Below are 12,930 nucleotides of genomic sequence, written 5' to 3' on the forward strand. Positions count from 1 at the left end.
GGCGTGAGCCACTATGCCTAGCCTTTTCTGTCTTTTCTATTTGTCATCATCTCACGTCCTTTCTTAATTTAAGCCTTCCTCACATTACCTGACATCAGGAGTTCAAGACCAGCCTGGCTAACGTGGTGAAACCCCGTCTCTATTAAACAAAAATTAACCAGGTGAGGTGGCATGCACCTATAGTCGCAGCTACTCGGGAGGCTGAGGCAGGAGAATCACTTGAACCCAGGAGGTGGTGGGTGCAATGGTCCGAGATCGCACCATTGCACTTCAGCCTGGGTGACGAGCGAAACTCCATCTCAAAGTAAAGTAAAAAAAATAAAAGCCTTCCTCAACCCTCTCTCCTTTAGTTCTTGTAAAATGAAACACTTCTGTCTCTCCCACATTCAACAGTTTATTGTGCTCATTTACTCAACTGCCTCAAGGTTAGAAAGTACCTACCCTGAGCCACATTAGGTACTCAAATATTCAAATCAATGAAATAAAAGGGTTTTAGTTTCATACCACTCAAGGGATAAAAGAGAACTCGGCCTAATGGTACAATCAGATGGAGCCAGTGTTAGCTTCCTACTCACAGGTCTTCCGTCTCAAGCATCCCAGAAGATGTAGGCCACCCGATGCTACTGCACACCAGGCTCTAAACACACTGAATACACTCGTTGAAGGGTAAGTCTCAGAGACAGAACACGTGGCATTCGTTCCAGCACTGGCCAGCTGTGTTTGGTGTCATAAATAGAGGATCTGAACCTCCCACCTTGGGAACCAAGACAAGCAGCAGAATATAGTGGTTCCAAACACATGCTCTGGAGCCAGACTACCAGGGCTGGAGCCATGGTTTCATCACTTAGCACTGTGAGGCCATGGGAAAGCAGTTTAGCCTCAGTGTCCACTCCAGCATAACTACCTACCTCACAGGGTTGCTGGATGACATGAGTTCATCTTTATAAAGTGCCTATGAAACCGCTTTTGCAAAATTCATAAACTGAGAAAATTATGAGTGACATATCAGACCTAACTGACCCCATCTTGTTGCTAACCTCTAAACTGTCCTTGTTCATTCCTGGGCATAGGCCAAACTAGCTTTGGGAAGGATTTTTGTGTATAGTTTGTCAAAAAATAGCCCTTCCCAAAAGGCTAAACAGTTCTTGTAAAACAAATGAAAGGCCACCAAGTCAAGATGAGAGAAACTGGAATTCTTACCAGCCATTATTCTAGAGGTCCTAAGATTTGCAACTTCCCCAATTACTCCTGAAGGTTAACGTCACTATTGTGAGCCTAAGATTGGCCTTTTTGATGTCTTTTCAGGTTTTTCATTTCTAACAACCAGATGGCCCCACCTGGACCTGCCAACCAGTTCTGTGGCCCCCACCTAGGAACTGACTCAGCAGAAGAGAACAGCTTCGATTCCCCATGCTTTTACTCACCAAATTATCCTTAAAAACTCTGATCCCCAAGTTTTCTGAGACTGATTTGAGTAATAATAAAACTCCGGTCTCCCGCACAGCCAGCTCTGTGTGAATTATTCTTTCGCCATCGCAGTTCTTCTGTCCTGATAAACTGGCTCTGTCTAGGCAGTGGGCAAACTCATCCCAGCACTTTGGAAGGCCAAGGCGGGTGGATCACTTGAGGTCAGGAGTTCCGGATCAGCCTAGCCAACATGGTGAAAGCCCATCTCTACTAAAAATACAAAAATTAGCTGGGCATGGTAGCACGCACCTGTAGTCGTAGCTCCTTGGGAGGCTGAGGCAGAAGAACGGCTTGAACCCGGGAGGTGGAGGTTGCAGTGAGCCGAGATCGTGCCACTGCACTCCATCCTGGGCAACAGAGGGAAACTCCGTCTCAAAAAAAAAAAAAAATATCGTAAGTCAAATCACATTGAGAGATTCTTGGAAGATTCTAAAAAGACTTTCTAGACAACCAAAAATGAGTGGGAGAAAAGGACTGAAGGTGGAGTGTGAGGAGGTGTATAAACTGCTGCTTACCAGCCTTTTCAATTGGGCCTCACGTACGCACAACTTGTGTATATTCTACCCATACCTGTTAAGGTTACTTCTAAAAGCAATAACTCATTCATAAAAACTTGAAGACCACGTCAAACAAGAATAGAATGTTATCCTGTGAGGTTCTACACCTACTCTATAAATGCTACATTGACTCAAAACACTTAGAACTTACTTGGAGTTGTCCTCAGAATGGATTTTGAGAGAATTAAATTTCACTTGACAGTCGCTTCATGTTGAAGACACACAAACAAACACATTACCCACCTTATGCACAGCAGCCTGGACTCCAGATGATGCCTTTTGTTCACTTCCAAAAATGTAATCCATCAAAGGATGAGTATTCACCCCCGCAGAGGACATTCTAAAGAATGTGCCAGGCTGGGTGCGGTGGCTCACACCTGTAATCCCAGCACTTTGGGAGGCAGAGGTGGGTGGATCATGAGGTCAGGAGATCGAGACCATCCTGGCTAACATGGTGAAACCCCGTCTCTACTAAAAATACAAAAACTAAGCCGGGCGTGGTGGCGGGCGCCTGTAGTCCCAGCTACTCGGGAGGCTGAGGCAGGAGAATGGTGTGAACCCAGGGGGCGGAGCTTGCAGTGAGCCGAGATCACACCACTGCACTCCAGCCTGGGCGACAGAGCGAGACTCAGTCTCAAAAAAAAAAAGAATGTGCCAGAGGGATGCTTGCTAAAATCAGCTTCTTTACCTTATAGACATCTGCATTACAGAGAGAGAAAGAAATGCTGCTTAGACTCCCTGTCAACTAAAATCATGGGAGAAACACTCCAATCTCCAGCCTACTTTGCCAATAAAATATTGCAACCTTTATTTAAAACAGAACACAACTTGGCAAACCTTGTGAGAAGACAGAGAAAGCAGTCCCTTTCAAGGGCCTCATTTATTTACATCAAGTTTAACACTGTTAGCAGTTCACAGTCAGACAACAGACGGAGAGAATTAAATTAGAAAAACAACTGAAAATATATTACAATAACAATTAAGAACAAATACCTGACAACACTGGTAATGTGACACACAATTGATGTGTTTTTAGTTAAATCCCACATTGTCTCACTATGTCCCCTTAGCAATGCACACAGTGCCCGATGCTCCAAACCTCACCCTCTGTGCACCACATACACACCTGCGGGGCGGGACCTTTGGTATAAACGTTCAACGAGTTTTAAAGAATTGAATCCGCATGTTTGGGGACAAAGTTCTGTCAACCACCATGAAATGTTTAAACTTATTTTTACTAAGCGAGCATAAAACTGGGGTTTGTCCAGTGACAGTCATTAGAGAATCAGACTGCAGAGAAGGAAAAGTGCAGGGTCTGGGAGGAGATGGAGGTTCTGAGTATACATCAACAGCTAAGTCAGCCTGTTCACAGTCAACACACCAACCACGCCACTGCTGTTCATCCAAGGAAAGATCTGAGCGATTCCTCTTTTACTTACTCCCCCTTTCTTAATGGGCACGACAGCAATGCACGTGTATTTATGGACACAAACACACACCAGCTATACAGATCTGAGATGAGAGGGTTTTCAAACATATGCCCTAAAGAACCATAAACAAGTATCTCATTGTTCCTTTCTAGTTTCTGAATACTGATTGACAATTGGCCTAATCATGGTGATTTCTCAAGATCTCAAGAAATTCCTCTCAAAACATAATGGAGGCCAAATGGCCACAGTGAGAAATTGCTGTCAAAATGGAGGAGAGCTGGTTTCTCTGGCCCTCATCTACCAGAAGCATCTCTGTCCCCTGGCGTTCTTGCCACTCACAATACCTGGTATGGTACTTCTGAACTGTGCAGAACAGTATCTGAGGTTTACTGTTGATGACACTAAAGCGTTCCCAGTCCTGCAAAACCTTCTGAAACAACAATAAATTTGCATATTCTTTTTATTGTGTCATAATTGCTGAAAATTAAGTATACATATATGTGAAAATTTAAGTCCCATTCTCCAACTAAAGTTTATGGTGCCTAATTCCGAAGCAAATTTAAGCAAGTTCTGACTACACAAACTCCTTATGTTTCCTTTCATAAAGCCTGCTAGCATTCGACAGTTTGCCTCCAGCTTTTCTAAAAGGTTACTTAGCATGCTCGGAGACCTCAGCTTCTGAGGGTTCAGCTCAGTAGCCTGGAGTGACAGGTAGGACCCTGAAAATTTGCTGATGCGAGTACAGTGATGAACAAAGAACCTTCCAGAATAGACACAGATGACATGTATCACAATTCTGCTCCAAATATGGTGTGGTCTGAGGACAGTGCTGTGCCTGGCCTTTCCCCTTCAACACGCCAGCTGCTCCCTCAGAGTGAACAGGGCTTTGCTACTCTGCTCAGGTCAAAAGGTAAGATTTTTGTAGGAGAGGTAAACAATTTCAAAGTTAGAGATGTACATGGGGATGAAGAAGTAAGTGCACTTGGAGGGAAGGGTCCGGCGAGACCTCGCCAGGTGGGCTTGAGAAACGCAGCAACTGCCAAGTGAACACTCTCAGGAAACCACTTCAAGTGGCGGATTCTCACAGATGGAGGATCTGGCCACTGCCATCTGAGAAGCTCGTGTCTACCAGCTCTAGTTCAATAATCATGCAAAATCAACCCAGCTGACAAGTCTTTTCCTCTCTGAGACTCATGAAACCCATCTTTGAAGGCACAAATCTCCAAGGGTGGCCTCTCAGCAGTTTCTGCCATTCCAAGTCAGCTTTGAATCATGACCTGCCACAGGCCTCCTTACCTGGGAAGAAGTATGGGATCTTCTTATCTTGATCCCACAGGGTGAAGCCTTCCCTAATTTCCTGTCCTTTGGATCTAGGATATTGAGTCAGAAATGAAGGTATCCTTTTTTTTTTTTTTCTTCTTAACGTGTCTCACTCTGTCACTTAGGCTGGAGTGCAGCGGCGCGATCTCAGCTCACTGCAACCTCCGCCTCCTGGGTTCAAGCAATTCTGCCTCAGCCTCGGGAGTAGCTGGGATTACAGGCATGTACTACGCCCGGCTAATTTTTATATTTTTAGTAGAGACGGGGTTTCACCATGTTGGCCAGGCTGGTCTCAAACTCCTGACCTCAAGTGATCCGCCCATCTTGGTCTCCCAAAGTGCTGGGATTACAGGCACGAGCCACTGTGCCCAGCCAAAAGGTATCATCTTGTACATACTCAAGATAGAATACATACCTCAGAGAGGTGGCATGAAAAGCAGAAATTCATCCGTCTGCACATTGCAATAAACTTCCCAAGAGACAGGCTGGACTGAGTCATGGGGGTGAGTGCTCCAGAGTAGGCTGTAGCTTGTCCCACAGCCCTGAATCCCACCCATGCTTCTCAGTAAGAGAGGAGCGTAGGGAATGACAGTGAAGTTCAAGTGAACTACAGTTGTGCTGAACAGAGCAAGTAACAATAACTATTACTACTGGCTTGCTGGAAAAAAGAAAAAAAAAGCAAGCTTTGCATTAGAATTTCTTTTTTTTTTTTTTTTTTTTTTTTTTTTTTTTTTTGAGACGGAGTCTCACTGTCACCCAGGCTGGAGTGCAGTGGCGCGATCTGGGCTCACTGCAAGCTCCGCCTCCTGGGTTCACGCCATTCTCCTGCCTCAGCCTCCCCAGTAGCTGGGACTACAGGCGCCCGCCACCACGCCCAGCTAAGTTTTTGTATTTTTAGTAGAGGTGGGGTTTCACCGTGTTAGCCAGGATGGTCTCAATCTCCTGACCTCGTGATCCACCCGCCTCAGCCCCCCAAAGTGCTGGGATTACAGGCGTGAGCCACCGCACCCGGCCAGAATTTCTTTAAGTCTAGTAGTTGGAAAACCAGAACTCTATCCAAATGATATAGATATCTTGACTGTTAAGAGTTGGAGACGTTTCAGAAGTTCTCACATACTCCTACGGATCCCAGACTGAAGCAGGAATTTACAAAGGAAGTGAGCTACTACTGGCTTGATACAAGCTAAGACAGAGACACAAACCGCTGAAGCCTATCAATACTTAAGCCAGAGACCCACCTACAAAAAGAGGATTGGTCATAGCAGATCCTTAGGGCACAGAGATGAACCCCAAATCCAGGTGGAACAATTTAATGCAAGATGATGAAACTCAAAAATCAAGAACAAAAATATAGATAACCCTGTCAACCCAATATGAACTCCTGGTAGGGGCACAGCCTGATAACAAGAATGACATCAGTAGCAAAATGGAAGGGAGCAGAAGGGGTCATAATGAAATGTAGCTATAATTCAGAAGTGGCCACCAAGGCAATTTACTTTTGAGTATTTTATAATAGGTGAATTAAATTCAGCTATTCTTTTTAGAAAAAGAAAAAAAAGATGACAAATGTCAATGTCATTTATAACTGGTAGGAAATCCTAGAAAAGTAATTCCCAAAGTGCACTGGTTTTATGGCCATCCACCTCCCCCTGTAAACCTAACAAAACTATGCAGGACATAGGTTAAAAAAGACACTGTCAACATCAACAGATAACAAGTCTGTTCCCACCACATTTAGGATAAATGGCCAAGCATATAGTGGATAAATGGAGAAGAGTAAGAGGACCTCATCCTTCTTGAGTCAAGGTCCTTGGAAGAGCTTCTGTGTTCTGGAGTGAGTACACATTCTTACTTTTTAAAGATCGGAATTAAACCAAAAAGTTGGTCCCTAGTTTCCTGAAGTAATTCAGCTCTGAACTACAACTTTAGCAAACACTTGCTATACCTGCTCATACCTGTTAAGCAGTTTCATATTTCTAAATGTGATAAATGACAGAGGTGATTCTTACGTATCTACATTTTCAGGTACCCCACAGGGTCCATCCACATTGAATCAACTGTCTTATCTTTTAAACAGACAATACTACAACCTTATAGTTATATTACAGTTGATATTTTCTCAAAGTGCTGTCATATACATTATCTCATAGTCATTAAAATAATGTGAACAATAAAGTTTTTTTAAAGAAAAGGGAATGTAGGACTAACTAGGTTTTTTAAAAACTCAAGTTGGTATTTCTTTACTACAAAGTGCACATTGCTGTGTTGCTGAGGTCTGTCCAAAAGAATGACCCCATTGAATTTTTTAAATGACTGAATTCTACTGAGTGCTTGCTTGGCTTGTGTTCCCATTACTCCACATTCAAGCCCCTTAAGGTCAAAGTGTCAGGAGCATGTGCTTTAGAAAGTGTGCAGCACCACACAGGCTGATTGTCGGTCTGAGCCACTTTTTTGCAGTGTCTCACATGGCAGCAGGTATGGTGGAAAGACCCCACAACCATAAAGTCAAGAGACTTGAATTCTAGCCTTGGCTCCGCCACTAATTAACCGTTCTGAGACAATAGGCAAGTAATTTAACCATCTTCTGCTAGTTTCTTAATCTATAAACCAAAGGGTTGGGGTACTGATAGTTTTCAGATAGCACTGGGTGTTTCAAACACCTGGCGAGATTACTGGAGAATACACTGGCCGAGACCCCAGCCCACTGGGAATTCTGATCTGGAGTGGGGCTATTCCGTCAGTTTTTTTTGTTTGTTTTGTTTTGTTTTTTAACCCTAGGGGATTCTGCTGTGCATCCCTAGACTAGGTGTTAATAATAGTAGTAGTAGAACATTTATAGAGTGTGCTCATTGTGTGCCAGGCACTTGAGCTAAGTATCTTACAAATATCATCTCATTTAATCCTTACAACAACCCTGAGGTAGTTACTATTATTATCCCTGTTTTACAGTGAGGAAACTGAGGCTCCCAAGGTTAAATGACTTGCCTTTTAGACTGGCATTAGAGCCTAAACACTAAACCACTATCTATACTGCATCCTTTAAACTCAAAATCTCCATGACTTTAGTTAAATAAAAATGGGCAGTGCCTTAGCAAAGTCAGCATGCTTTATTACCTGGGACATATTTTACTAGCCAATTTTCAGTTGAATCCTAAGAAACTTTCTATCTAATTTAAATCTTAAAATGCTGCTGGTAAAGGGTCTCCACTATAATGACCTCTATGTACAGAGGTCATCTAGAAAAACACTGAATGAATTTCTTAGGGCCAAATTTTTTAAGGCTAATCTCTGAAAATCATGATGGAAGTCTACAGGAAAATATATACATTTAAATTTTACACAAAGCCTTTTAAGAAAATACTTTAGGTAAAGCACAATCAAGATGTATTCAACACAAATCACTGCATTTTAAAGTGGGAAATCTAAACTGAAGTAATATTATCTGTACATGAAAGGAATCAAGCAGTGGCAGCCCAAAGGCATGCATCCAGATATACAGCATAACCACTTTAGAAAACTGTCAACGCCTTGGACAAGGGCCTTTGCTCATTGCTTTTAGAATAGTTAAAATTAAACTACACTTTTCCAGAAGCAGTTCTCTCTGCTTTGGATTCAAACCTTTTAATTTACATAAGGGTTTGTGTTTAAGCTGGTCCTTTTCAAGTAGAAAAAGGAAAAACCTAAATTATGCTTGTATAGTAAGTTGACAGTGCCTCTTTAACCTGAACCTTGAGCCCTCAACCCCTGAAGTTACATAGTTCAAGCATCATGTGGACGGGGTATGCTCCAATAGTCAATGCCACTCTTGACAGTGTTGACAAAAATCAATTCCATTTATATATCGTGCACCCACTGTAGGCAAGACAGCTAGGTGCTGCCCCTGAGTAAGACACAGCCCCCACCCCCTACCCTTCAGATTGTTGTTGGGCAAGAAAACCAGGGAGCCTAAATACACTCAGTAGTGTTTCTCCAAGGCTTAGTTCCAGAACTCTCAAGGGAAAATAGAGCCCTTGCTTAAAAAACAAAAAACAAAAAAACCCTGAAAAACAATTACAATCCCTTAACTTGCATCCCACAACAACAGGGATAAACCTAAAAAGCAGCATAATAATATTCTACAGTTTTAGCTTTCCCATCCTCGACCTTAAAAGGCTAGCTGCTAAAACGAGTTCTTCAAGTTTACGGACATGTATGATGAGCAAGAATGGCAGGAAAGAAGGTGGGAGAAGGACCGCTGGTTTTTACATCTGAGTTCTCTTCCAACCACTAGGAGGAGATGAACCCAATCACTAGCTGCCTGTGCTGCAACTGCAGGTGACATACTGCGGGGATCACCCAACACCTGCCAGGAATGCCCAGCACCGCGTGTCTCCTCTAATCCTCTTAACCTGGGCCTCCTTTGGAGCAGCAATGGTAAGAATCAAGGTTTCCTTTCTTTCCAATGAAAACTCAATTTTGTTCTTGGTCAAAAATGCCAAACTCTATTCAAAACATAGTTTTCCCCTTAGTATTCTAGCCCAATTCATATAATCTCAACAATTCTTAATTTCATTAATATTTTCTACTCAGCAAATAAGATAATGGAAAACAATTCAGCATAACAACACTGCACTAAAAGAGCTTTCCAGAGAGGCTCTCCAAGGGATAGCTGCACACTTACTTGCAACACCCTTGAGAACATGTACTGTTACCTTAATTAAATAGATTAAGAGATGAGGCTGTGGTTTGACAGTGTATCAATGACAGAGCCAGAAGAAAACTCAGTGCTCAATGTTGAATTCCTATCTTCCTAAGCTAATATTCCTTTGAGAGAATAAAATAAAAATATGTGTGTATTGAGCTCTCCTTGGGGAGGATGGGGGAAGTATTCATAAAGCTTTAAAAAGAGAATGAAGCAGTAACTGGAATTAGACCCGATACCAAGAACATTAATAATACCTAACTCATTAGATTCACTTCCATGCCATCCTAATTAGCTTCCACAATTATAACTAAGGAAGGAAGGAAAAGGCCTATTTTTCAAGGGCAAAACATATTTAAGGATTAAGTCATTAGGTTCCCAGGGTCTACCTGGTGCTCCCTGAAAATGACTACTCCTTCAATTATGCATTCTTAAAATAGAAGTGAAATGACAAAATAAATAAAGAATATTCCCAATAAGATCTGTACAAATAAGCACAATGATTGGGTGGGGGAGTAGGGAGGAATATGTGAGAGAAGAAAAGCATGTGAGAATAATGTGGGGGTGATTCACTTCAAATCCATAGAGAGGAGAATGCCTCTCCCTATTCTCTACCTGGATTGGGCTTAAGGTGGTAAGGGAAGGGAAAGGTACAGAGAAACAGCCATTAGGACCAAGCCAGCTTTTCCTCTCAGTCACATACAGGCCACTGGGTTTCAAGAAAAGACCATCTCCCTGGTATTTTAGTTGATAAAGAAAAATACACAGCTGCTCAAGTCCTTGGCCAGTATGTCAGTATGCAGGGGAACTGTATCAGAACAGGATTCATTCCTTTGTGAGAACCTGTAGGGACTACTATTTTCAAAATCAACACTGGTTAATGCTCTGAATGCTACCAGGAATAAAGGAAGACAGCCTGCCCAGCAAAAGACAGAGAAGAACCACTAGGGAGACCCCTGTACTTATGGTTTACAGATAGCCACCAACAGGCAGGAAGCCGATCCTGGTCCATTATGAAATAATATACCAGACTGGGAGAAGTGACTTCTGCTAATCTGTGTAAGATTTTAGAAGGTTTTCAATTTCTGATTCAACTTTCCAGCATTCTTTACTTCCTGCACTAACTGATACACCAGCGGAAAATAGGACAGAGGCATTCAGATAGGGCCATATTTCCCAGTTTTATGTTGTAGCACTCTGATTTGCAGTTCTTATTACAGCAGCAATGGCCTTGTGGAAGCAAGGCTAACAGCTACTTCCAACAGCCCTGAACAAAAATTTCTCTTGGTACATTCCCAGCTTTCTTTTCTGCTGTCCCACCAAATTCATTAGGTAAATTGGAGCATAATCACCATTAGTACCTACCAGAGCCCCAGGTCTGGGTGCAGCTGCTGCAGTCTTGCTGAGAGCAGCCCTGCCTAGCACTTCCCAGCATTCCAGGTAGGGATGGGCTGCATTGCCTTCCTTATGACATACACATGTTCCCTATTTTCCAGTGCAGTTTCCAACCCTGTCCACTACTGCCTTGCCCCCACTTAATTTACCTCTCCTATACTTATGTGGTTTGCTTCTTATTTTTGAGATGAAACTGTAAACGTGAGAACTCAGGGATCTGAGGTACTTCACATAAACACACTCAAGTATGAGTCTTTCATTTTCTGAAAACAAGAACACAGGAAAACAAGTCCTTTTCCCTCTCCCCTCAGAAATGTGTGCATTTTCCCACCAGGCTAACAGTGGCTACCTCTGCACCACATCACTGATTTCCTGTACACATGACAATAAGTTATTAAGGACAGGGTTTGTCCCGGGCACACCAGCAGCTGCTGAAGAAACCTGTAGCTCCTGCAGGCTGAGTTCCAGTTTGCTCACAGCCTCTCGGAAGGCAAATTTGTTGCGAGTTTGAGGGATGCAGTCCACATAGCCTGAGCAGTAGTCAAGCAGCTGGTGTCCAGTGTCTACCAGCTGGCTGTTGGGCACAGGTTCCGTGAGTGCACTGGACAGTAGGTCAGCACATTCCAGCAGGGCCTCTTTGCTGATTTTGTCTGCTGAGATTTTCTCAGCGGCCTGTTTGGTTTTTCTCAGAGCCACTTTAGTACCTGCTGTGCCATTGGCCATTTTGGCTGGCGAGATGGAAGATGTGGGCAGAGGCACTTGAGGTGGAGGCATCACTGGCCTCCCAGCTTTCCCACTGATGGGCACTGCGCCCAGAGCTGCCTTCTTTCCTCCTTCCTGTGTTTCTGATGTGGACTGTCCTGCAGTTAGGGCAGTTGGCTCTTCTGTAGGGTCTGAGCAGATGGACGGATGCTGCAGTAGTCTCATCACTGGTGGTGGGGGTGGGGCACACTTTGGTTTTACCCGTCGGGGTCGGTCCTTGTCTCCAGAGGATGTGACCTGATGCTCAGATAAGAGCTTGAATTTATTCCCCTGAGAGTCTGTGCCAATGAGCTGCACGTCAGCTGGAGTGTGTTTCAGAGTGGGTGAGATAAGGACTGGCACTTTGTGGTTGTGAGTGGTTGGGAGGACGGGGGCAGCCTTGGCTGGAGAAGGCCAGCCCGGCTGCTCTCCATCCTCTGGAACTCCAGCCATCCCAAGTCGTGCCCCACCATTCTTCTCTTTACCCTTGGGGGCAGCTGCCACTCCAGCCACTCCCACCCCTGGAGGGTCCTTCTCTGTAATGGCTAGATCCCCAGAGGGTGTTCTGAGAGGAAGAGCTGTGGCTCCTCTGGGCAATAACTTGGCTTTTGGTCTCTCCCTGCTTGGAGCAGCACTTTCCTCTGATTTTTTTGGAAGCATGTCATTGGCCCTGTCCACATTCTCTTCTGGCTGAGAAGAGGTGGACACTGTCCTTTCCAGCTGGAGTTTGGACCTCTGGCAGTTCCTGGGAAGGGTCATTGCCATCCTATCCTGCTCTGGAAGCCCTGAGGACATGGAAGATGTAGAGTTTGACCTTGGAAAAGGCTTGGAAGTGTCATCACTGGCTGTGGGTTTACCTGCTCGTAAGCCCAGTGTCTTTTTGATTAAGCGTGGTGTAAAGAAGCCTGTGATGCCAGACCACCCACCCCCAGCAGTGCCACTGCCCCCACCCCCACCACCGTCGTCATTACAGAGGTTCCTCTGTGCAAAGCTCCCCCCATAGCACTTGGGTGGCACCAGATTCGCCTCTTGCTGGGCAGGAGTGAAAGAGAACCCATCAGCATGCTGTAGAGAAGCAACAGATGAGAAGTTACCCGTGAGTTCGTATTTCTTATGGGGCTGATTCTCCATTTCTCGGAAGGAGCTGCTGCGTTTGGGGGGTGTAGGAGCATTTCTCTTCTTCATGAAGGAGCTGAAGAAGCCCCCCTTCCTATCCCTGGTGAAGCATGTCTCTTTGGCATCTTCCAAGAGGCTGCTGGGTGACTTGTCTCTTTGCTTTCGAGGCAGTGCTGGGGATCCACTAGAGGCCTGTGCACCTCTGATGAACCCTGATGAGAAA

General features: G+C 44.3%; 1 protein-coding gene across 9 annotated transcripts in view; it reads right to left on the bottom strand.

Annotated features, from left to right (window-relative positions):
- The window catches only part of ABL2 (ABL proto-oncogene 2, non-receptor tyrosine kinase), a 130,348-nt gene continuing 120,225 nt past the window's right edge, over positions 2,808–12,930 (bottom strand). For 5 of the 9 annotated variants that reach the window (NM_001168236.2, NM_007314.4, XM_017001035.2 and 2 more), the window contains one exon: positions 2,808–12,919. In NM_001168236.2, coding sequence (NP_001161708.1) covers positions 11,196–12,919 — 1,724 coding nt within the window. In that variant the 3' untranslated portion in view covers positions 2,808–11,195. The remainder of the gene's footprint in view (positions 12,920–12,930) is intronic. The other 4 variants (NM_001168238.2, NM_001168237.2, NM_001168239.2 and 1 more) reach the window with 1 other exon arrangement.

The sequence above is a fragment of the Homo sapiens genome, chromosome 1 (assembly GCF_000001405.40).
Source record: "Homo sapiens chromosome 1, GRCh38.p14 Primary Assembly".
Lineage (NCBI taxonomy): Eukaryota > Metazoa > Chordata > Mammalia > Primates > Hominidae > Homo > Homo sapiens.